Here is a 25,166-nt window from a genome sequence, read left to right on the forward strand (position 1 = left end):
AGAAAACACTATCCTTTACATGTGAAATGTCAAAATGAGCAATTACTAAGCCAAAGAAATGTTTATGATATTCAAAATGTTTTTTAAATAAATGTTTGGCAGAATCAACTTTTAAAGTTATTTTAAAAATCATTATATTCTTATAAAATTTTAAGATCCCAGTTTAAGGATGACGAAATATTAAATATTGCACAGTTGAGATATATAAAGGCCTTTGTTAAAGTTGTAAGAGAGGAGAAAATGACTTTTTTTTTTTTTTTTTGAGACTGAGTCTTGCTCTGTCGCCAGGCTGCAGTGCAGTGGTGCGATCTCGGCTCACTGCAACCTCCGCCTCCTGGGTTCAAGCGATTCTCTTGCCTCAGCCACCCGAGTAGCTGGGATTACAGGCACGCGCCGCCACACTTGGCTAATTTTTGTATTTTTAGTAGAGACGGGGTTTCACCATGTTGGCCAGGATGGTCTCCATCTCCTGACCTCGTGATCCGCTCACCTCTGCCTCCCAAGGTGCTGGGATTACAGGTGTGAGCCACTGCGCCCGGCCATTTTTTTTTTTTTCAGCCAAATTCTGTTATCATATGGACATTCTCTGGGTCAAAGGATATTTTCCATACAAACCACCAGACTCCTTTTTTGGTCATGTCTGATTAAAGGATTAGATAGAAACCGTTTTTTTTTTATTTTTTTAATTTTTTTAGACAGGGCACCGCTCTGTTGCTCAGGCTGGAGTTCAGTGGCACGATCTCGGCTCACTGCAACCTCCATCTCCCAGGCTCAGGGGATCCCTCCCACCTCAGCCTCCTGAGTAGCTGGAATTACAGGCATGCACCACCATGCTCGGCTAATTTTTTTTTTTTTTTTGAGACGATGTGTTGCTCTGTCGCCTAACCTGGAGTGCAGTGGCACGATCTTGGCTCACTGCAAACTTCGCCTCCTGGGTTCAAGTGATTCTCCTGCCTCAGCCTCCCGAGTAGCTGGGATTACAGGCACGCACCATCACATCTGGCTAATTTTTGTATTTTTAGTATAGACGGGGTTTCGCCATGTTGGCCAGGCTGGTCTAGAACTCCTAACCTCAAATGATCCGCCCACCTAGGCCTCCCAAAGTGCTGGGATTAACAGGCGTGAGTCACCGCGCCGAGCCCAATTTTTGTATTTTTGGTAAAGACGGGATTTCACCATGTTGCCTAGGCTGGGCTCGAACTACTGGGTTCAAATGATCCGCCCGCCTCAACATCCCATAGTGTTGGGATTACAGGCGTGAGCCACGGCGCCCGCTATAGAATCTGAATATTTTTAACCCCCCTCTTTACTGACAAGATAAAGACAGAGATAGAGAGATGCATATAGGGAGGAAGAGATCTCCTTAGAGGAGGGAAGACCACCACAGCTAGCCTTGTTTTGCACCACACAGATCTGATTAGAACTAGAATTAGTTGGGCTGGCAGGACCCAGGGGCGAGCAGAGAGTTCCTGAAGGAAGAGGAGACAATAACTAGCAAAAATGAGTCTTTCCTGTAAGTTTGGGACTTTGCTAAGCGCTATATTATCATCTAATTTATTCATAACAACAACCCAATGAGGAAGGTACTAATATTACTCCCATTTCACAGAGGAGCGAGTTGAAAGTCACAAAAATGAAACAGCAAACGCGCCGAAGTCAGGCAGCAAGTAAGTGGCAGCACCAGAACTCGAAACTGCCTCGGAGCATGCACTCTTCACCACCCCGTTCCACCTTGAGGTCGGATTCCGCACGCCGTTCGCGGCATTCCCACCTTCCTACGTGGGACAGTTCCCGGTACTGAGGCATGGCGCTGTCCAGCCCTCAGGCCCGCAGCCGTCCGCAAGCAGGAGAACGCGGCCCCGCTGGGCGATCCTGCCCGAAGGCGCCCGAACTGCGGCGCGCGGCCGGGTCCTGGCGGGCGGGTCGAGTCTCCCCAAGGCGGCCATCCCAAGCAGCTCCCCGGATGTCCCTCAGACCCGCGCGCTAGGCTCAACTCAGAAAGGCGGGAGGCGCGAAGCGAGATCGGCCTTGCCCCTCGACTGTCCCCTCATCGCTCCCCGTCCTCTATTCCCTCCCAAATAGCCCCCGGCAAATAGGTTACACATCTTCACCTGTCCCAGAGGTGGTGACTGCTCTAGTGACTGACGCTACGCTCCTCCAACCAGGCAATGGCAGGAAGGTGGAGCCTTCCTAAGACTGATGGCTTCCTTTCTCCAATCCCGGTGCAGCTATTCTCCGGCCATAGTCTCGGCGCCCAGCGGAGAGCGACAGGTGGGAGCTGCGTTACTTCGGCGCCTCTTGCATCCTTGACGTAGAAGTTTCACCAAGCGCAGGGTGAAGTCTACTCCAAATTTGACCAATTCTTGCGGGTCATCACTTCAGCAGTCATTTTATTCAGAAGTGGAAATTTCCCGGCCCTTTCCCGTCACCTCAGATGAGGGCGGGATCAATGGTACTCCCACAGGCCAATTGTACCACGCGACGTCCCGCGACAAAGTGACCGACACTTTATGGCGCCAATGAATTCTCCCATTGTTCGGGGTCACTATGACTGACCACAAGGCCAACTAATCCACTTTAAGGTCGTGACGCGATAGTCAGGCGGGTTGGCCAATAGACATAGGAAAAGAGCGGAAGTCAGCTGGTGAAGAGTGGGAGGCGGGTGTTCGCAACCGCCTAGGCCTGCGCGGGTCAACGCAGCTTGGCGGCTGCGAGCCAGCGAGCGGCGCGTGACGAAGAGCCTGAGCGACGGGTCACTTTGGCCAATGATCTGCAGCCGCCAGGGTATTGCAGCCAGTGGCGAGTCGAGGGGGCGGGAGGCAGCAGGTTAGGCAGTGAGAAGTTAGTGGCGCTGCTGGGACGGGGGAAAGGAGACGCTTCTTCCTCTTGCTGCTCTTCTCGTTCCCGAGATCAGCGGCGGCGGTGACCGCGAGTGGGTCGGCACCGTCTCCGGCTCCGGGTGCGAACAATGCTGACTGATAGCGGAGGCGGCGGCACCTCCTTTGAGGAGGACCTGGACTCTGTGGCTCCGCGATCCGCCCCAGCTGGGGCCTCGGAGCCGCCTCCGCCGGGAGGGGTCGGTCTGGGGATCCGCACCGTGAGGCTCTTTGGGGAGGCCGGGCCAGCGTCGGGAGTCGGCAGCAGCGGCGGCGGCGGCAGCGGCAGCGGTACGGGCGGAGGGGACGCGGCGCTGGATTTCAAGTTGGCGGCTGCCGTGCTGAGGACCGGGGGTGGAGGTGGTGCCTCTGGCAGTGACGAGGACGAAGTGTCCGAGGTAAGGCTCCGGGACCCTCGCCTCCCACACATTGTGAGGCGTGAATTCTCTTTGGGTAGGCTCTGGGCCGGGGCCATCCTCCCGCTTCCCTGGTGGAGCCCTTCTGTGACAGCGGTCGGCTCCATGGCGGCGGTGGCCGCGGTGAGGGCCTAGTGAGCCCTCGGCTTACTCTTTAGCTCGAGCGGGACAGGTTCCCGTCACCATTCGTAGACCCACAATAGGGAGTCCTTTGGTCTCTGAGCTTCGCGCGGGAACAGGGACTCCTCAGGCTGCCTCCCGCCCACCCTGCTTTGGAGTTGGGGGTGGGGGGCGGGGTCTTGCCAGAGTCCCTGCCCTTGGTACTGAGAGAGACAAACAGAGACAGAGACAGAGCTGGTGCAAAGATCGTTTCTCTTCTTTGCCTCTCCTCAGAGTTGAGGGATACGTTTATTTGCCTTCTGCCTTGTGTGTGTCTTACCTGTGTGCTTAAGGACGGTTCTTATTCTCCCTCTTCAGTTTGAGACAGGTTTGAGTATTAGGGATCTCTCGGCTTTTACCCTGAAAAATCACGTGACTCCTCCTTCTGGGACCTTTTGTGAAGTTAGACAGGAAAAGGAAGTTCCAGGGCATCCCTGAGCTTCGGAATAGCTGGGTAGCTGAACTCGGAGGTTTTAGGCTTGGAGAAAGTGGGGCAACCTGTGGAAACCTCTTCTTTTTTTTTTTTTTTTTTTTTTTTTTGAGATGGAGTTTCGCTCTTGTTGTCCACGCTAGAATACACGTGATCTCAGCTCACTGCAACCTCCGCCTCCCGGGTTCAAGCGATTCTCCTGCCTCAGCCTCCCGAGTAGCTGGGATTACAGGCGTGCGCCACCACGCCCGACTAATTTTGTATTTTTATTAGATACGGGGTTTCACCATGTTGGTCAGGCTGGTCTCGAACTCCTGACCTCAGGTGATCCGCCCGCCTCGGCCTCCCAAAGTGCTGGGATTACAGGTATGAGCCACCGTGCCCGGCTGGACACCTTCACTCTGCCTTTGCAGTGAAGTCCTTCATTTCTTTAACTCTTCTGTGTGTACTCTAATGTGTACACATTTTTAGGTCTGAGCAACCTGGGATGGTAGGCATTAACTTCTTTTGGGTTCTGGGGAAAAAGGGGCGGGTTTTGTTTTTGTTTTTTGAGATGGAGTTTCGCTCTGTCGCCAGGCTGGAGTGCAGTGGCGCGATCTCGGCACACTGCAACCTCCGCCTCCTGGGTTCAAGCGATTCCCCTGCCTTAGCCTCCTGAGTAGCTGGGACTACAGGCGCGTGCCACCACTCCCGGCTAATATTTTGTATTTTTTAGTAAAGACAGGGTTTCACCATGTCCAGGATGGTCTCGATCTCCTGACCTTGTGATCCCAAGGGGCGGTATTTTATGTGTATACTTTTTTCTGTTGACTGTGGCTTGCGTAGAGTACTGTACCGTGATTGTTTTAAGTGCTCAGAGTATTTCTTCTATTTTGGTTCTGAGGTGCCTGAGTTGTCACCTGTGACCAGTTATTTTAACCTCTGGTCTTGGTGTTAAAGTACAGGAATTTCTCTGTGTGTACTAACAATCCCGGCTCTTGGATTTGAGAGGAATAAGGAGAAATTATTTGTGGGTTACAGACTGCAGTTAGTATACTGTCTTATCATTCTAGGTCTGAACAGGGTTTTATTTAATATTTAAAACCTTAGTACATTCTGACCCTAACATTTTGCTTTGGAAAAAAAAGTGTGTGGGTTATAAGGCGGGTAGTCCCTTGAATGTCTACGTCTTTGAATTTCACGGTAAGGGAAATAACTTCTAAGCCAAGGTGAGAGAAATGTTTTATTTGAGTAGGCAGTTATGGGGAGAGACTCTGGAGTATCCCTGCTCTTGGTCTTGTGGAAGGCTTTATTTTATCCTTTCAGTGAAACGTGAGAGATTAAGCTAGAACACAGTACTTTTTAGCTAGGAAATGAAGTGTGGGGGATATCCTTAGACTAAAGATTAGAGCTTATTTTCTATGAAACTTGTAAATGAGAATCTGAAAGAGTTTGCTTTGGTCTAAATGTGATAGAAAAAGGGGACCTTGATTTTCTTGACCATTTTTACATAATTGTCATGGGTGAGATGAAAGGTCACTCATTTGCCTTTTTTTTTAATTTTAATTTTTTGTTTTTTTTGTTTTTTTTGAGACTGTGTCTTGCTCTTGTCACCCAGGCTGGAGTGCGGTGGCTCGATCTTGGCTCACTGCAACCCCCGTCTCCCAGGTTCAAGCTATTTTCCTGCCTCAGCCTCCCTAGTAACTGGGATTCCAGGTGCCTGCTACCACGACTGGCTAATTTTTTTGTATTTTTAGTAGAGACGAGGTTTTACCATGTTGGCCAGGTGGGTCTCAAACTCCTGACCTCAGGTGATCGCCCTCTCAGAGTGCTGGGATTACAGGCATGAGCCACCACGCCCGGCCTTAATTTTTTTTTTTTTTTTGAGACAGGTTTTGCTATGTTGTCCAGGCTAGCCTCAAACTCCTGGGCTCGGGTGGTCCTCCTACCTCAGCCTCCTAAGTAGCTGGGACTATAGGCACACGCTACTGTGCCTGGCAACCATTTGCTTTTTTATAAGTAATAGTCTTAAATTTCTTCACAGGTAGAGCACTAGTTTGCCCCCAAAGTCATAAATTTGTCTCTCTCTCTTTCTGACTGTGCATGTCTGTGTGTGTGTGTGTGTGTGTGTGTGTGTGTGTGTGTGTGTGTGTGTATGTGTAATGGTCTTTGGAGTCTCCATACCATGTAATTAAAGCTATGGGCAGAATCCATGCCTTTTGTATTTTTGAAGCTTATTGTAGAAGTCATGTGTTGGTGATTCCTACACCCACTTAGTGGTGCCTAATGTTAGAAGAGCCCCATATTCTCCTGTTTACTTATGTTTTCTGTGCCTAAAAGGATTTACAGGTTAAGAGTACATGTAGACCTCATTTTTGGAATGGAAGTTTCTAGGATACCCACTTTAGCCTAATCTAAGATGATGCTTAGTGGGTGTATAGATGCTTTCTTAATCTGTGTAAGCAGGAAATTTTTTTTGGGTCCTGTTTCTCCCATATCACATAGAGAGGAAATTCTTGGAGTATCTAGTCTTTATAGTATGTGTGGTAGAGTATAGTCTGTGCCTTTGTGAATAAAATGACCTGTTTTGGCCAAGCAAAAATTTTCCCTTTTCTTTTTCTGTCTGACAAGATGAGCTGTCTTCTTTTATTATTATTGCCTTTGAATTTTCAGTGTGAAAAGGTAACAGTGTTCTTCAAAAAATACTCATGTAATTGGCATTTGATGAATAATACTAAAATCCTCCGTCTCATCTTTCCTAAATATTTTGTTTATTTTTATTTATTTTTTTGAGACAGGGTCTCATTCTGTCACCCAGGCTGGAGTGCAGTGGCACGATCTTGGCTCACTGCAACCTCCGCCTCCTGGGTTCAAGCGATTCTTCTGTCTCACCCTCCTGAGTAGCTGGGATTACAGATATCCACCACCACTCCCAGGTAATTTTTATATTTTTGGTAGAGACAGCGTTTTGTCACGTTGGCCAGGCTGGTCTCAAACTTCTGGCCTCAAGTGATTCTCCCACCTTGGTCTCCCAAAGTGTTGGGATTACAGGTGTGAGCCACCATGCCTGGCCTTCATTTTTCCTAAATATTTATAACCACCGGGCATGGTGGCTCACGCCTGTAATCACAGCACTTTGGGAGGCCAAGGCGGGTGGATCAGCTGAGGTCAGGAGTTAGAGACCAGCCTGGCCAACATGGCAAAATTCTGTCTCTATTAAAACAAAAAATTAGCCGGGCTTGGTGGAGGGCGCCTGTAATCTGAGTTACTCAGGAGGCTGAGGGAGGAGAATCGCTTGAACCCAGGAGGCAGAGGTTGCAGTGAGCCGAGATCACGCCACTGCCCTCCAGGCAGGGTGACAGAGAGAGACTCTGTCTCAAAAAAAAAAAAAAATAAATTATTTTAGAAACAAGTACCTAGACATCCAAAAAGATGATGAATTGGTGTGTAGTTTGGGAGTGAAGTTTGTCTTGTTGCTCTAATGGGGCAGGATTAGGTGAGAAATAAGAAATGTGGAGCCCTAGTATTTTTGCTCTAGAATTAGTTGGTCTTCTACATTTTGTGTACAGAGGAGTAGACCCTCTAAGGACCTCTTTATATTTAATATCAGAGCCAAGAGCTGAGAAAAAACAAGCTACTCTTTCTTGCTGGCCAAGCAAAAGACCTTTTGGTTAGAGGAATGGACTCACATCTTTCAGTACATTTTTTTTTTTTTTTTGAGATGGAGTCTTGTCGCCCAGGCTGGCACGATCTTAGCTCACTGCAACCTCTGCTTCCTGCATTCAAGTGATTCTCCTGCCTCAGTAGTGAGATTACAAGTGCGTGCCACCATGCCTGGCTAATTTTTCTATCTTTAGCAGAAATGGGGGTTTCACCATATTGGCCAGGCTGGTCTCGAACTCCTGACCTCAGGTGATCTGCTCGCCTAGGTCTCCCAAAGTGCTGGGATTACAGCCGTGAGTCACCCACCTGGCCCTTTTGTTATTTTAAACATTGGGGTAAATACCTGCTTCGTATTTCTTCAGGCATTCTTAGCATGTTTCTTAGCTATCGAAGCCCTTGATTAGAAGAGCTAGCACTGCATTGAATCCTATTAAGAAATGTATCCATGTTCAGAATAGAAGTTAGGTTAAAAATTTCTTAAAAACCACTTTAGGCCTGGTGCGGTGGCTAACGCCTGTAATCCCAGCACTTTGGGAGGCCGAGGTGGGTGGGTCACAAGATCAGGAGTTTGAGACCAGCCAGACCAACATGGTGAAACCCCATCTCTACTAAAAAACAAAAATTAGGTGGGCGTGGTGGCACGCACCTGCAATCTCAGCCTACTCAGGAGGCTGAGGCAGGAGAATTGCTTGAACCTGGGAGGCAGAAGTCGCAGTGAGCTGAGATCGCGTCACTGCACTCCAGCCTGGGTGACAGAGTGAGACTCCATCTCCAAAAAAAAAAAAAAAACCACTTTAAAAAATGGTTTTTATTTTAAATTTTTATTTATTTATTTTGAGATTAGGATTACAGGTGTGAGCCACCACACCCAGCCTATTTTTATTTATTTATTTATTTTTAGAGATGGGCTTTTGCTCTGTCACCCAGGCTGGAATGCAGTGGCATGATCATAGTTCACTGCAACCTCGAATTCCTGGGCTCAAGCAATCCTACTGCCTCAGCCTCCCAAAGAGCTAGGTCTAACTAGAGGTGTACTCCACCACTCCACCTGATTTAAAAAAAAAAAAATGTTGCCCAGGCTAGTCTTGAACTCCTGGCCTCAAGGGATCCTTCTGCCTGGGCCTCCAAAAATGCAGAGATTACAAGTTGTAAGCCACTGTGCCTGACCGAAAAACCAATTTTTAAATTTTAATTTTAGAATTGTGGTCTTTTAATTTTTTTAGCAAATCGAAATAAAAATACAGTTTCTAAAGAAAAGATTGTGTGAGACATGGTTTTCAATTTTTGTCGTAAGAATGAATGTGTGTGTATATGTGTGTTTGTGTGTGTATGTGTGTGTGTGACGGCCCTCTTTTAAAATTATTACAAAAGTGGCCGGGCGCGGTGGCTCACGCCTGTAATCCCACCACTTTGGGAGGCCAAAGCGGATGGATCATCTGAGGTCAGGAGTTTGAGACCAGCCTGGCCAACATGGTGAAAGCCTGTCTCTACTAAAAATACAAAAATTAGCTGGGTATGGTGGCAGGCGCCTGTAATCCTAGCCACTTGGGAGGCTGAGGCAGGAGAATCTCTTGAACCCGGGAGACGGAGGCTGCAGTCAGCCAAGATCATACCAGTGCACTCCAGTCTGGGTAACAGAGCAAGACTCCATCTCAAAAAATTAGAAAATAATAAAATTATTACAAAATAGTTACTTGTTGAAAAACTCAACAATATAGATAGTAGGTATAAGGGGAAAAGTAAAAGTGCTTCTTCCCACCCCCATTAATTCTTCAAATTCTACCCTTCAAGGTAACCAATATTAAAATTTTTCATTCAGTAAATTTTCTAGGCCTATCTTTCTATGTATATATGTATATATGTTCATATACACATACTTTAAAGGCATATCAAATTTAAAAGTGTAGCTTTATATCACACTGAGGTTTTTTTCTTGAAGCAGGTGCTGTATTTACAATTATATAAAAGCACGCAGAAATTGTATTTAGCTCTGAAAATATAGCACAAGCTTTGTAGGGATTCCTTTTTCCCTGAAAATTACTTTTAACATCAAAAGCAAAAGTCATACAGAAATCCCATCCTGATTTTCTCCAGTAGGTAAGGAGTTGGGTCATATCCTTTAAGATTGTTTATGATCTATATATAATCTGTTTTTTAATTTTTAATTAAATTTTTTTTACCGTTATGTGTTTTGAGAGATGGGGGTCTCGCTTTTTTGCCCAGGCTGGCTGTTGCCCTGGCTACACAGTGCGGTGGCATGGTCATAACTCTATGTGGTCTCCCACTCCTGGGCTCAAGCAATCCTTCTGCTTCAGCCTCCCAAGTAGTCAGGACTACAGGGGACTATAGGTGTGCACCACAATACTTGGCTAGTATGATCTATAATCTAGAGCAGTTTCTCAAGAGCAACATATAGACATTTTGGGACAGAGAATTCTTTGTTGTGAGGGGCTCTCCTGTGCATTAGAAGCATCCCTGGCCTCTACCCACTAGATGCCAGTAGAACCCGATTATGATAGCCAAAAATTGTTCAGACGTTGCCAAATGTCTCCTAGGGACAAAATCACTCCTGGTTGAGAGCTACCGGTCTAGAGGCCACTCTTGTCAGGAATGGTAGTTTTGTTATACTCTGTATTCAAACTTAAGGTAAACAAGGTGAGTCACTGCTTTTAATAGCATTTCAGGACTTATGCTTATAACCTGAACAAGGGAGAAATAGAAGGTACTGAAAGGTTTAATATAAAACTAGCATGCACTGCTGTAAATTTTCTATGGTAAATGTATCATTTTGGGGAACTTTCACTTAAAATATATTATTTTTCAAAAAGTTCAGTTGTCCATGAAAATGAATTTTTAAAAAACTTTTATGGGGACTTCCAGTTTGTTCAAAGTAGAAATGCTTTATTCCATAAATTATCATTTGTAGTGATAACATAGGAAATATAACTTTGTATTCTAGTGGGCTAATTTTGGAGACTTTGGAAATGCTTATTGAATAAAAAGAATTATATGTTATTACTGTAACAATTTTTTTTTTTTTTTTTTGAGTCAGAGGAGCCTTGCTCTGTCACCCAGGCTGGAGTGCAGTGGCAGGATCTCGGCTCACTGCAGCCTCCACCTCCTGGGTTCAAGTGATTCTCCTGCCTCAGCCTCCTGAGTAGCTGGGACTACAGGCCCGTGCCACCACGCTCGGCTAATTTTTTGTATTTTTAGTAGAGACGGTGTTTCACTGTGTTACCCAGGATGGTCTCGGTCTCCTGACCTTGTGATCCACCCGCCTCAGCCTCCCAAAGTGCTGGGATTACAGGTGTGAGCCACCGCGCCCAGCCACAATTTTTTGTATGTTGCACAAATATCAACCTTTCACAAGCTTCATGATGTAAAGCCTTAAGACTTTACATATAAAATGATGCATTGATAAGTATATTTATGTGAATGGTGGGGTTGATGCAGAGTTGATTAGTATGGGTGGAGGAAAACTTTTTGGGAAACTTTAAGTATGAGAGGTTTTTGTTGTTATTAGTATATTTTCAATAGATAATTACATTCATATAGTTCATAAGTCAAAGTAATATAAGGGCAGATACAGTGAAGTCTCAATCTCACCCTGCTCCCACATATCTTGCTCTTTATACTTTTAATAAAAGTATTATATAGCCTTTCAGAATTTCTTTATGAAAATACAACTATGTGTATTTTCCCTACTGTTACACAGATGGTAAGATGCTATTTATGTGAAATTTTTAAATGGTAAATTTGAGAAGGATTTAGACTTTTTTAAAAAATTAAAGTGATAAATTATGTTATGAATGAAGGATGGAGGTGAGTTTAAGCACATTCCTTTCTGAGTCTATTTGTTAGTAGAGTGCTGATTGACTAGATGAATTCAAAATCAGTTCTGGCCTTCTGATTCAGTGATCACTAATATAAATAAAATATGTTACTTTAAAGAAAAGCAAAACAGTTTTAAACAGTTTTAGCCTTGAATTGGCAAGTAAACAAAATAAATGACAAGTTTACCAAATTTTTTTTTTTGGCCAAATTTACTTTCTCAGAACTAAAGTTGTAATAAATAAAATCAATTCTTTTTTTAAACCCACTATAAAGGAACTGTTTCAATGTATCTGTCTTCACAGACCTTATTGATCACATTTCCCTCTCCTATTGCTTGTCTATAGAGTCATAGAATCTTGGTGATAATCCTATCTCATCTCATTTTTAGGTAACTGCTACCATTTATTGAATGCTTATTATATACCAGTACCGTACTAGATACTTTCGTTATTTTATTTAATCGTTTCATCACCCCTTTGAGGTAGGTATTATCTACATTTTTATAGATGAATAAGTGTAGGCTCAGAGAGTTTTTAGAGTAATGAATCTAAAAAACAAAAAAATGGTTAAAATGTTATATGGCTAGTGACTGGTAAAGGTGGGATTTGAATGTGATACTGAATTTAGAGCCCATACTGTTATTTTGCTTCAAATTAAGAAATATGTAGTTTTTGGTTACCAAATGCTGTTTTTTAAATAAATCATTGTTTAGTTCCTATTGAAGTTTTCACAGATGTAAAGTAAAATGGAGAAAATAAGCAGGATGTAGTGAATTTCTAATGAAGCTATTTTTTCCCACTTTTTTCTATTTTGACAAATACTCTTCCTACTTTTACAAAATGAATTTTTAAAACTATCTGTACTTAACAGAATATCAACTGGAAACTTCATTTGGGACCCTGGATAAAAGCCTCAGAAGTCTGGGAACTGTTGAGCTAAATGACTTGCCCAGATCACACAGTTAATATGTAGCAGTCAAGACTGAAAAATAGGCCATCTGATTCCCATTCTAGTTATCCTACCTTCCAGATTCTCCTAACTTTCTTTTGATGCATTATATTAATGAGTTTAATTAGTTGCTTATAAATGCCTCTTTCAAACTATTATAGTTTATAATCCATAGTTGATCTTGTTGGAAAAGTTTTTTTTTTTTTTTGGCTGTTTTTTTTTTGGTTTGTTTGAGAACGGAGTCTCACTCTGTTGCCCAGGCTGGAGTGTAATGGTGCAATCTTGGCTCACTGCAACCTCTGCCTCCCGAGTTCAAGCAATTCTCCTGCCTCAGCCTCCTGAGTAGCTGGGATTATAGGCGGCCACCACCATACCCAGCTAATTTTTTTTTGTATTTTTAGTAGAGATGGGGTTTCACCATGTTGGCCAGGCTGGTCTCGAACTCCTGACCTCAGACTATCTGCCCACCTCAGCCTCCCAAAGTGCTGGGATTATAGGCTTGAGCCACTGTGCCTGGCCTTTTTTTAAATTTTTTTTTTTTTGAGACAGGGTCCCGTTATGTCACCCAAGCTGGAGTGCGGTGGTGCAGGAGTGCAGTGGCTCACGATCGTATGGCGCAATCACGGCTCAGGCAGCCTTGACCTTCTGGGCTCAAGCGATCCTCCCCTTTCAGCCTCCCAAGTGTCTGGGACCACAGGCGCACACCACCGTACCCTGCTAATTTTTAAATTAAATTTAATTAATTAATTTTTTCCGACACACAGTCTTAGTTGCCCAGGCTGGAGTGCAGTGGCGGATCTCAGCTCACTGCAACCTCCGCCTCCTGGGTTCAGGCAATTCTCCTGCCTTAGCCTCCCAAGTAGCTAGGATTACAGGTGCGTGCCACCATGCCCCGCTAATTTGTTGTATTTTTAGTAGAGATGGGGTTTCACCATGTTGACCACGCTGGTCTCAAACTCCTGACCTTGTGATCTGCCCACCTCCCAAAGTGCTGCGATTACAGGCGTGAGCCACCGTGCCCGGCTATTTTTTTTGTAGTTACAAGGTCTCATTATGTTGTCCAGGCTGGTCTCAAACTCCTGAGCTCAAGGGATCCTCCTGCAGTGGCCTCCCAGAGGGCCAAGATTACAGGCATGAGCTACCACGCCTGGCCGGAAAAGTTTTATATTTTTTAATGAAATTACTGTCATGTAGATCAGCATAAGAGAGTGTACCACTAGAGTATAGGGGGAGCACTATTCTAAAGAAATTTTGTAATGAACTTAATTGGAAAGTTCAGGTCTTTCATTATTCATTTAAAAAGGATTAAGAAATAATTAAAACCATTGAAATAGAAAGGCATATGCCCAACTTTGCAGCTTTGCCAATATGGGAAATATTTGTTTTACAATATTGTTATATTCCAATTATTTTGTAAAAATTGTAATCTGCTTTTCTATTGATAGTTACAGACAGTGCATGGTTCCTGTGAGTAAAGATCAATTGACTTATGATGATTGACTAGTTTACCTTTCTTCCTGCCAAGTTTACCTAAACCAGGAAGAAAGTAAGGTTGTATATAAAAAAATTTGTTGGACTGAAATTTAGCAACTATTTGTGGAAGAGCACATTTTGCTCTTCCTCTGCTACATAGACTTCTGTTCTCACAAAGTTTTCCACTTACTGAATAGATACTGTTTTCAGTAGTAGAAAGGATGTTTTTTTAAAAAATGTAGATATCCCACTGTATGCTAGTGATTGATTCATCTGTATTAGTATGCAATTTTGAAAAGAGAAAGGCAAGTATATCCCTAGAGGTTACCCCTAAGAACCAACTAAGAACCAAAGAGTTAAACAAGAAAACAGTTTATTAAGTTGCCAAGGTAAGTTTGATGTGTTTAAAAATTTACAATGAGGACAATTAGATTGAGAACGAGTTTGTTTTTTAGATTTTGGTAAAATATTCATAACATAAAATCTATCATTTTAACCATTTTTTTGTTTTTGTTTTAAAATTGTGGTAGAATATGTATATATAACATAAACTTTACCATTTTAATCACATTTATACTTTAACCACTGTACATGTATGTTAAATGTACAGTTCAGTGGCATTAAGTGTATTTACATTGTTGTGCAACCTTCACCATCAACCATCTCCAGAACTTTCTCATCTTCCAAACTGAAATTCTGTACTTGTTAAACAATAATTCTCCCATTCTCCCTTCCCCCAACCCCTAGCAACTACCATTCTACGTTTTCTCTCTATGAATTTTACTACTTATATAATTGGAATCATGCAGTATTTGTCCTTCTGTGACTGGCTTTGTTCTCTTAGCATAATGTCTTCAGGGTTAATCCAGTTGTTGCTTGTGTCAAAATTTTATTCTTTTAAAGTTAAATTCAATTGTGTGTGTATATGTATGTGTGTGTGTATATATGTACACACATGCACACTCCCTATATTTTATTTATCTGTTCATTTGGGTTTTTTTGTTTGTTTTGTTTTTTTTTGGAGATGGAGTCTTGCTCTGTCACCCAGGCTGGAGTGCAGTGGCACGATCTCAGCTCACTGCAACCTCCACCTCCTGGGTTCAAGTGATTCTCCTGCTTCAGCCTCCCGAGTAGCTGAGACTACAGGAGTGTGCCACCATGCCTGGCTAATTTTTGTATTTTTAGTGGAGATGGGGTTTTGCTATGTAGGCCAGGCTTGTCTCAAACTCCTGACCTCATGTGATCCACTCGCCTCGACCTCCTAAAGTGCTGGGATTACAGGTGTGAGCCACTGTGCCCGGTCTATCTGTTCATCTGTTGATGGACACTTGGATTGCTTCCACCATTGGGCTATTATGAATAATGCTGTTATGAACATAGATATGCAAATATCTCTTTGAGGCCTGCATTCAATTATTTTAGGTATATACCCAGAAATGGAATTGCTGGATCATATGGTAATTCTATTTTTAATTTTTTGAGGAACTGCAATACTGTGTTCTATATCAGCTATATCATTTGACATTCCTAACAGCAAAGCACAAGGAAGGGTTCTAATTTCTCCATATTCTAGCCAACAGTTATTTATGTTTGTTTTTTGATAATAGCAATTCTAATGGGTATGAAGTGGTATTTCATTGGGGTTTTGATTTGTTATTTCCCTAATGATTAGTAGTGTTAAGCATCTTTTCATATGCTTATTGGCCATTTCTGTATCTTTGGTGAAATGTCTATTCAAATCCATTGTACATTTAAAAAGAAATTGTATTGCCGATTAGGCACAGTGGCTCACGCCTGTAATCCCAGCACTTTGGGAGGCTGAGGCAGAAAGATCATCTGAGCCCAGGAGTTCAGAACCAGCCTGGGCAATATAGGGAACCCTGTCTCTACAAAAAGTAAAAAAAAATTAGCCAGGCATGGTGGCACATGCCTGTAGTCCCAGCTACTCAAGAGGCTGAGGTGGGAGGATTGCTTGGGCCTGTGTGGTCGAGGCTGCAATAAGCTGTGACTGCCACTGTCACTGCACTCCAGCCTGGGTGACAAGAGTGAGACCCTGTCTCAAAAAAAAAAAAAAATTGTGTTGTTTGTTTTTTATTGTTTAGTTGTAGGAATTCTTTATATATTCTGGATATTAATCCCTTATCAGATACATAATTAACAAATATTTGCCTTCATTCTGTAGCTTGTCATTTCATTCTGTTGCTGTAGTGTCCTTTCATGAACAAAAAGTTTCTAATTTTGATGAACCTAATTTATCTGTTTTTTTATTTTGTCGTATGCTTATGATGTCATGAAATTATTGCCATCTCCAGTGTCATGAAGATTTTCAGGCGTGGTGGTTCACACCTATAATCCCAGCGCTTTGGGGGGCCGAGGCGGGCCGATCACAAGGTCAGGAGTTTGAGACCAGCCTGACCAACATGGTGAAATCCCATCTCTACTAAAAAATACAAAAATTAGCCGGGCATGGTGGTGCCTGCCTGTAATCCCAGCTACTCAGGAGGCTGAGTCAGGAGAATTGCTGAACCTGGGAGGCGGAGGTTGCAGTGAGCTGAGATCTTGCCACTGCACTCCAGCCTGGGTGACAGAGCGAGACTTCGTCTTAAGAAAAAAAAAAAGAGTTTTATAGTCTAAGCTTTTAAATTTACGCCTTTGATACCTCTTTTTTTTTTTTTTTTTGAGATGGAGTCTTGCTCTGTCGCCCAGGCTGGAGTACAATGGTGCGATCTCGGCTCACTGTAACCTCCACCTTCTGGGTTCAGGCGATTCTCCTGCCTCAGCCTCCCAAGTAGCTGGGATTACAGGTGCACGCCACCACGCCCAGCTAATTTTTGTATTTTTAGTAGATAGGGGGTTTGCCATGTTGGCCAGGCTGGTCTTGAACTCCTGACCTCAAGTGATCTGCCTGCCTCTGCCTCCCAAAGTGCTGGGATTACAGGCCTCAGCCACCGCACCCAGCCGCCTTTGATACATTTTGAGTTAATTTTTTAAAATTTATTTTTATTTATTTATTTATTTATTTTATTATACTTTAAGTTCTAGGGTACATGTGCACAACCTGCAGGTTTGTTACATATGTACACATGTGCCATGTTGGTGTGCTGTACCCATTAACTTGTCATGTACATTAGGTATATTTCCTAATGCTATCCCTTCCCCCTCCCCTGACCCCACGACAGGCCCCGGTGTGTGATGTTCCCCACCCTGTGTCCAAGTGTTCTCATTGTTCAATTCCCACCTATGAGTGAGAACGTGCAGTGTCTGGTTTTCTGTCCTTGCAATAGTTTGCTCAGAATGATGGTTTCCAGCTTCATCCATGTCCCTACAAAGGATACAAACTCATCCTTTCTTATGGCTGCATAGCATTCCATGGTGTGCATGTGGTACATTTTCTTAATCCAGTCTATCATTGATGGATGTTTGGGTTGGTTCCAAGTCTTTGCTATTGTGAATAGTGCCGCAGTAAACGTACGTGTGCGTGTGTCTTTATAGCAGCATGATTTATAATCCTTTGGGTATATACCCAGTAATGGGATGGCTGGGTCAAATGGTATTTCTAGTTCTAGATCCTTGAGGAATCGCCAAGTTAATTTTTGTATATGGTATAAGGTAAGGTCCAATTTCATGCTTTTGCTTGTGGATATCCAGTTTTTTAGCACCATTTGTTAAAGACCATTATTTTCCCATTGAATGGCCTTGGCATCCTTGTCAAAAATCAATTGACCATATATAAGTGGGTTTACTTTCTTGACTCTCTGATCTATTCCATTGGTCTATATGTCTGTCTCTTTGCCACCATCCTCTTTTGATTACTGTAGCTTTATAGTAAGTTGAAATTAGGAAGCATTAGTCTTTCAAATTTGTTCTTTTTTTTAATTTTAATTTTTTATAGAGATGAGGTCTTACTATGTTGTCCAGGCTGGTCTCAAACTCCTGGCCTCAAGTGATCCTCCCACCTTGGCCTCCTAAAATGCTGGGATTACAAGTGTGAGGCACCATGCCTAACCTGTTCTTCTTTTTTAAGATTATTTTGACTATTCTGGGTCTTTTGAGATCCCATATTAATTTTAGGATGGGTTTTTTTTTTTTTAATTTCTGCAAAAAGTGCCATTGAGATTCAATAGGGATTGTATTGAATCTATAGATTGTTTTGGATGAGAAAAACTTTTAATACAAATTTTATGTAATTGTTTTATTATAATAATTATTAGCAAATCAAAGGACTTGATCTGGACAAAATATTAAAAAGCATCTATGATGGAGAGGCTGCCAGACTCAGTCAACTGATGTTCTCCCTGAAGCCATTGAACCCAAAATAACATGGGATGTTTACTTTGAGTATATGTTTTTGAAATATAATCCTTATTTTTTCCTGATTTATCCTCATATTGACTAATTTGTGAGTGATCAGGATATGTCGTATATTGATTAAATGCTAGAAAGAATATTCTTTATCCTTTATATGATTAGATATGAGCTCAGTCTTGGAAAAATTATCTCAATATGGTATTAAACTTAGATAAATGAACCTGTAGTTATCATTATGACAAAGGAGCAAATCCCAAAAGGGACAGTAGTGGATACATTCTCTTTTTTTTTGGTTATTATTTATGTATTTATTTATTTAATTAAACATTTTTTTAATTAAAAAATTTTTTAATTTAAAATTTTTAATTTAATTAATAATTAATTAAAGACAGTGTCTCTGTCACTCAGGCTTGAGTGTAGTGGCACGATCTTGGCTTACTGCAACCTCCACCTCCAGAGCTCAAGCCATCCTCCCACCTCGGCCTCCTAAGTATAGCTGGGACTATAGGTGCATGCCACCATGTCTGGCTAATTTTTGTATTTTTTGTAGAGATGGGCTTTGCCATGTTGCCCAGGCTGGTGGTCCTGAACCTCCTGAGCTCAAGCAGTCTGCCTGCGTCGGCCTCCCAGAGTGCTGGGATTACAGGCATGCGCCACTGCACCCAACCCAGTTACTTTTTATTGTGATATAATTTCAAACTTACTGGAAAGTTGTAAGAATAGTACAAGGAACTTTTCCCATATAGTCTTTTTTTTTTTTTTTTTTTTTGAGACAGAGTCTCGCTCTGTCGTCGCTCAGGCTGGAGTGGAGTGGCACAGTCTTGGCTCACTGCAACCTCCGCCTCCTGGGTTCAAGCAATTCTCCTGCTTCAGCCCCCCGAGTAGCTGGGATTACAGGTGCCTGCCACCACGCCCGGCTAGTTTTTTTGTATTTTTAGTAGAGATGGGGTTTCACCATGTTGTCCAGGCCAGTCTCAAACTCCCGACCTCAGGCGATCTGCCCTCCTCGGCCTCCCAAAGTGCTGGGATTACAGGCGTGAGCCACCGGGTCCAGCCTTCTTTTTTTTTTTTTTTTTTTTGAGATAGGATCTCACTGTCACCTAACCTGGAGTTAAGAGTGGCACAGTCACGGTTCACTGCAGCCTCAACCTCCCCAGGCTCAGGTGATCCACTTCAGCCTCCTCAGTAGCTGGGACTACAGATGTGCACCACTACAGTGGCTAATTTGTTTTTTGTATTTTTTGTAGAGTCAGGGTTTTGTCATGTTGCCCAGGCTGTTCTCAAATTCCTGAGCTCAAGCAGTCCTCCTGCCTTGGCCTCCCAAAGTGTTGGGATTACTGGTGTGAGCCACTACGCCTGGCCCATTGGTTTTTAATATATTCACAAAGTTGTATGACCATCAACTAACTATTCTAAAACACTTTTATCACTCCCAAAAGAAGCCGTGTACTCCTTAGCAGTCTTTTCCCATTCTCACCTTCCCCCAGCCCCTCATAATCACTAATCCACTTTCTGTCTGTATGTATTTGCCTAATCTGGGCATTTCGTATAAACAGAATCATATAATATGTGGTTATTTGTGCCTGATTTCTTTCACTTAACATATTGTTTTAAAGATTTCTACAATATTGTAGCAGGTATCAATACTTTTTGTTTTGCTTTTGAGTCCGAGTCTTGCTCTGTCACCCAGGCTGCAGTGCAGTGGGGCAGTCATATCTCATTGCAGCCTCCAGTTCTTGGGCTCAAGTGATTCTCGTGCCTCAGCCTCGCGAGTAGCTGGGATTACAGGCATGTGCCAACACTCCTGGCTAATTTTTGTATTTTTAGTAGAGATAGGGTTTCACCATGTTGCCCAGGCTGGTCTCGAACTCCTGGCCTCTAGTGATCCACTTGCCTTGGCCTCCCAAAGTGCTGGAGTTATAGGCATGAGCCATCATACCTGTCCTACTGCCAATTCTCTGCAGCTGTACTATTTAACATTCCTACCAGCAATGTACAAGAGTTCCATTCTTCTCATCTTCACTAACATTTGTTATTTTTCTTTCTTTTCTCTCTTTTTTTTTTTTATTACAGCCATTCTAGTGAGTGTGAGGTGGTATCTAATTGTGGTTTTGATTTGCATTTCCCTAATGATTAATGATGTTGAGCATCTTTTCATGTGCTTATTGGTCATATGTATATCTTTGAAGAAATATCTATTCAAATATTTTTCCTGTTGATTGGGTTTTTTTTATAGCTATGTGTTTGTTTTTTCTTTTCTTTTTTAAATTTGTTTTAGGAAAAAAATTCTGGATGCTAGTTCCTTAACAGATCCATGATTTGCAAATATTTTCTCCCATTCTGTGAGTTGTCTTCATTTTCTTTCTTTCTTTTTTTTTTTTTTTTTTTGTTTTTGAGATGGTCTCACTCTGTCACCCAGGCTGGAATGTAGTTGCCCAATCATAGCTCACTGAAGCCTCAAACTTCTGGGTTCAAGTGATCCTCCAACCTCAGCTTCTGGAATAGTTGGGACTATCAGCATGTACCACTGTGCCTGGCTGATTTTTAATTTTTTTGTAGATATGGAGTATCAGTATATTGCCCAGACTGGTCTTGAGGTCTTGAACTCCTAAGCTCAAGTGATTCTCCTGCCTGTCTTTTCTTTCTTTCTCTCTCTCTTTCTTTTCTTTTCTCTTCTCTTTCCTTTCTTTTTCTTTCTTTCTTTCTTTCTTTCTTTCTTTCTTTCTTTCTTTCTTTCTTTCTTTCTTTCTTTTTCTTTCTCTTTCTTTTTTTCTTTCTTTTCTTTCTTTCTTCTTCTGTCCTTCCTTCCTTCCTTCCGTCTGTCCTTCCTTCCCCCTCCCCTCCCCTCCCCTCCCCTCCCCTCCCCTCCCCTCCCCTCCCCTCCCCTCCCCTCTCCTCCCCTCCGCTCCTCCTCCCCTCCCCTCTCCACACAGTCTCCCTCCCTCTGTTGCCCAGGCTGGAATGTAGTTGCTCCATCATGGCTCACTGCAGCCTCAGCCTCTCAGGCTCAAACAATTCTCCCCTCAGCCTCCCAAGTAGCTGGACTACAGGTGCACACCACCATGCCCAGCTAATTTTACTGTTTGTACAGACAAGGTCTCACCATTTTGCCCAGGCTGGTCTCAAACTCCTGGCCTCAGGCAGTCCTCCCGCCTTGGCCTCTCAAAGTGCTGGGATTATATGCATGAGCCACCATACCCAGTCTTGTCTTCACTTTCTTGTGTCACTTGAAGTTTAAAAATTTTGATGACGCCCAATTTATATATTTATCTTTTTGCTTGTGCTCTTGTTGTCATGTCTAAGAAACCATTGCGTAATCCAAGATGACAAAGATTTATGATTTATGCCTGTTTTCTTCTGAGACTTGCATAGTTTTAGCTCTTACATTTAGGTCTCTGATCCAATTTGAGTTAATTTTTATATATAAGGCGTGAGGTAGAGGTCTAACTTGATTCTTTTGAATGTGCATACCCAGTTTTTTCAGCATAATTTGTTGAAAAGACTATTTCTATCCCCCTTGAATTGTCTTTGCACCCTTTTCAAAAATCAGTTGACTACGTGTGAGGGTTTATTTCTGGACTGTCTGTTCTATTCATTGATCTATATGTCTCCCTATGCCAGTTCCACACTGTCTTGATTACTGTAGCTTTTTGCAGTAAGTTTTGAAATGAGAAAGTGTAAGTCTTCTGACTTTGTTATTTTTCATTGTTGTTTTGGTTATTCTGGGTTATTGGTTATTGGTTATATTCTTGTTCTCTTGATGTGGTCTTTAGGAGAGGTATAGTAGGAGGTGTTTAATATGATGCAGAATTTGTGGTAATAGACAAATGATTCAACCCCCTCCTTCCCACTTCCATAACATTCTAGCTCTTGAAATTTCTGTACCTTTCTATATGCTGTAGGTGGGGAGAAATTCATGTAATTTAAACCATGTAATTTAAATTTGCCAGACTGCTAGGAGAACAAGTTGTAGTATCAATGTTTGTTTTCCTTTTTTTAACCCGTTTACCCTGTGCATCCCCTCTCTCACAAAGCCTGAGTATATGTTTTAGAAGAGGTAAGACCGAAGAGGAAGGAGATGGTTGGTTTGGGTAGTTGTCTTCTGAGTGGACTAGTCTCCAAGAAGAATATGGACAGAATTTCTTTTTCCAGGGCAACAAACAAATGGATAATTGGAATAAACTATAAAACATGGTAATTAGAGTTTTTACTTTTTTTTTTTTTTTTTTTTTTTGAGACAGTTTCGCTCTTGTCGCCCAGGCTGGCGTGCAGTGGCGTGATCTCGGCTCACTGCAACCTCTGCCTCCTGGGTTCAAGCGATTATCCTGCCTTTGCCTCCTGAGTAGCTGGGATTACAGGGGCCGGCCACCACACCCAGCTAATTTTTGTATTTTTAGTAGAGACGAGGTTTCACCATGTTAGCCAGATTGCTCTCAAACTCCTGACCTCAAGTGATCCACCCACCTTGGCCTCCCAGAGTGTTGGGATTACAGGCTTGAGCCACCGTGCCCGGCCGAGTTTTTGCATCTCGTAACACCTGCTTAAGGAGGTGTAAATTCAATGTTTAAGTAACATACAGTTTGACTTCCAAGCCAGTATTGTCACAGTCTTATCACTTGCTCTAATGCTTCTAGTTTTGTTAGGTTACTAATTATTTCAGCTCAGTGAACAATAAGAGTCTGTACTATATTTTGGTACCTGTCTTACTTGGGACTTGACTGATAGGTTAGCAATGAAAAGTTTATTTTCTTTTAGTTTGAAGAGACCATTATTTGAGGCTATACTTAAAATCATGGATTTGACCTATTACCAACCCCTCAACAGAATTTAGAATTATATGATGATATAGTATCACGAGTACTATTGTATATATCTCCTTGTTGCTGATCTGTTGAAATTATTCACTCATTCTCTACAGAAGAAAATCTTGGTTAATTTGGGGTAGGACTTCTTCATGAACTCACATTTTGCATAACAGAATTATGTCCTTTAAAGGTTAGAGTCCTTGGTAGTTTAAGAATTCTGATTGGTATTTTAGAGTGGATTGATTGATTGAGACGGAGTTTCACTCTTGTCGCCCAGGCTGGAGTGCAGTGGCATGATCTTGGCTCATTTCAACCTCCGCCTCCTGGGTACAAGCAATTCTCCTACCGCACCCTCCCGAGTAGCTGGGATTACAGGCGCCCACCACCACGCCCGGCTAATTTTTTGTATTTCTTAGGAGAGATGGGGTTTCACCATGTTGGGCAGGCTGGTCTCAAACTCCTGACCTCAGGTGATCTGCCTGCCTCTGTGTCCCAAGGTGCTGGGATTACAGGCATCAGCCACCACACCTGGCCTAGAGTGGATTTATTTATTCACAATTATTTATTTAGAGCCTACTATTTGTTAAGCTTTGTGCTAGACTTTGGACTACAAAGATGAAAAAATATGTTCCCTGTCCTTAAAGACATCAGTCTTCCAGCACTTTGGGGGGCTGAGGCACTTTATGTTCTGGGCGGATCGTGAGGTCAGGAGTTCGAGACCAGCCTGATCAACATGGTGAAACCCCGTCTCTACTAAAAATACAAAAAATTTAGCAGGGTGTAGTGGTACGCACCTGTAATCCCAGATACTCAGGAGGCTGAGGCTGGAGAATCGCTTGAACCTGGGAGGTGGAGGTTGCAGTGAGCCAAGATTGCACCATTGCACTCCAGCCTGGGTGACGGAGCAAGACTCTGTCTTGGGGGGGAAAAAAGACATCAGTCTTTTCAGGAATATTAATATTCCTGGTAATGAAAAAAGAAGGTAAATTATTGTTTATTTTTTGAGACAGGGTCTTGCTCTTTCGCCCAGGCTGGAGTGCAGTGGTGCGATCATGGCTCACTGCAAACTCTACCTCCTGGGTTCAAGCAATCCTCCCACCTCAAACCTCCCCTTCCACACCCCACCCCTGCAGCTGGGACTACAGGCATCCGCAGCCACACTCCACACTCAGCTAATTTTAAAATATTTTTTGGTGGAGGTGAGGTCTCAATACCTAGGGTAGTTTGGAAGTTCTGGCCTTAAGTGATCGTCCTGCCTTGGCCTTCCAAACTGCTGGGATTACAGGCATGAGCCACCATGCCCAGCCTATTTATTCAAATTATATTTGTCATTCTAAACTCTTTTTAGATATTAATAAATTGTATTTGAGTGTTCTAGGCATTGTGCACTTTAATTGCATCACCTCATTTAATTTTCTCATGGTTCTGTGACAGTCCAAGATACCAAATTCAATGTGTGGATCATTGCCCTGTGTTAGTTGGATGATCACTCTAAAGATTGATATTTGAGTGTCTTGCTTCAGGAGATTGATGGGCTCTAAGTGGCAGGTTTAAAGGGGCAGTAATTTAAAATGGAAGGATGCATAGTCCATCAGCATAAGATTGTCTTGTGCTTATTTTTGAGCAAAACCACAACTGCTCCTTATTATGTTCTGTAAACTCGCCAAGCCTGTGATGCTTCAGGGCCTTTGGCACTTCTGGTTCCCTCTGTCAGGTACATTCTCTTAGATATCCATGTGGCTTCCCTTTCACTTCTATTATGTTTCATTTAAGAGACCTTCCAACTATTAATACCTACTGTATGTATATTGCATAAACATCTCAGGCTCATTAATTCTAAAACTGAACTCATACTTTCCCCTTGCACTCCACTATGATGAATGTGTCCCCCAAAGTTCATGTGTTAGAAACTTGGTTCCTAGTTCAACAGTGTTAGGAGGTTGGGCCTAATAAGAGGTAACTGAGTCATTAGGACTTCTCACAGGAGCTGGTTAACTATCCTGAGTCGCTTTATTGTAAAGCACATTTGGCCCCCTCTTCCATTAGCTCTCTCTCCCATGCTGTCTTGTCATTCTGTCACTCTTTTGGCCAAAATCCTTCCCATTTCGTAGATAAAGGATCCAAATTCCTTGGTATGGCAGACATAGTTATTTAGGATTTGGCGTTGTCTATCTTTCCAACTATATCCTTATGCTCTATTTGCTTTTTATATTCTAGCCATACTAAATTGCTGTAGTTCTTAGAACATATCAAGCTCTTATATACCCTGGTATAT

The 25,166-nt window shown here is 42.8% G+C and overlaps 2 protein-coding genes and 1 long non-coding RNA gene across 8 annotated transcripts in view, besides 5 other annotated features; 2 read left to right on the forward strand and 1 right to left on the reverse strand.

Moving 5' to 3' along the window:
• Positions 1–2,402, reverse strand: part of ANKHD1-DT (ANKHD1 divergent transcript) — a 30,506-nt gene extending 28,104 nt beyond the window's left edge. For 2 of the 3 annotated variants that reach the window (NR_186045.1, NR_186044.1), the window contains exon 1: positions 2,112–2,402. This is a non-coding gene — a long non-coding RNA (ANKHD1 divergent transcript). Of the gene's footprint in view, positions 1–1,514 lie in introns of those variants that run through there. The other variant, NR_186046.1, reaches the window with a different exon arrangement.
• Positions 1,428–1,577: an enhancer, noted in NCBI's record as "active region_23269". NCBI's record gives its function as "activates an Ori minimal core promoter by ATAC-STARR-seq in GM12878 lymphoblastoid cells {active_cell/tissue: GM12878}" and the evidence as "EXISTENCE:reporter gene assay evidence [ECO:0000049][PMID:35858748]".
• Positions 1,668–1,817: an enhancer, noted in NCBI's record as "active region_23270". NCBI's record gives its function as "activates an Ori minimal core promoter by ATAC-STARR-seq in GM12878 lymphoblastoid cells {active_cell/tissue: GM12878}" and the evidence as "EXISTENCE:reporter gene assay evidence [ECO:0000049][PMID:35858748]".
• Positions 1,908–1,957: an enhancer, noted in NCBI's record as "active region_23271". NCBI's record gives its function as "activates an Ori minimal core promoter by ATAC-STARR-seq in GM12878 lymphoblastoid cells {active_cell/tissue: GM12878}" and the evidence as "EXISTENCE:reporter gene assay evidence [ECO:0000049][PMID:35858748]".
• Positions 2,148–3,037: an enhancer, noted in NCBI's record as "active region_23272". NCBI's record gives its function as "activates an Ori minimal core promoter by ATAC-STARR-seq in GM12878 lymphoblastoid cells {active_cell/tissue: GM12878}" and the evidence as "EXISTENCE:reporter gene assay evidence [ECO:0000049][PMID:35858748]".
• The window catches only part of ANKHD1-EIF4EBP3 (ANKHD1-EIF4EBP3 readthrough), a 147,744-nt gene continuing 125,411 nt past the window's right edge, over positions 2,834–25,166 (forward strand). Inside the window, exon 1 of the mRNA NM_020690.6 lies at positions 2,834–3,274. Within this exon, the coding sequence (NP_065741.3) occupies positions 2,969–3,274 (306 nt within the window). The 5' untranslated portion in view covers positions 2,834–2,968. The remainder of the gene's footprint in view (positions 3,275–25,166) is intronic.
• The window catches only part of ANKHD1 (ankyrin repeat and KH domain containing 1), a 138,017-nt gene continuing 115,684 nt past the window's right edge, over positions 2,834–25,166 (forward strand). For all 4 annotated transcript variants that reach the window (NM_017747.3, NM_024668.4, NM_001197030.2 and 1 more), the window contains exon 1: positions 2,834–3,274. In NM_017747.3, the coding sequence (NP_060217.1) occupies positions 2,969–3,274 (306 nt within the window). In that variant the 5' untranslated portion in view covers positions 2,834–2,968. The remainder of the gene's footprint in view (positions 3,275–25,166) is intronic.
• Positions 7,642–8,142: an enhancer, noted in NCBI's record as "H3K27ac hESC enhancer chr5:139786226-139786726 (GRCh37/hg19 assembly coordinates)". NCBI's record gives its function as "activates a minimal SCP1, AML or CMV promoter by ChIP-STARR-seq in naive H9 embryonic stem cells {active_cell/tissue: H9 hESC(naive)}" and the evidence as "EXISTENCE:reporter gene assay evidence [ECO:0000049][PMID:30033119]".

This window comes from Homo sapiens, chromosome 5, assembly GCF_000001405.40.
Source record: "Homo sapiens chromosome 5, GRCh38.p14 Primary Assembly".
NCBI lineage: Eukaryota > Metazoa > Chordata > Mammalia > Primates > Hominidae > Homo > Homo sapiens.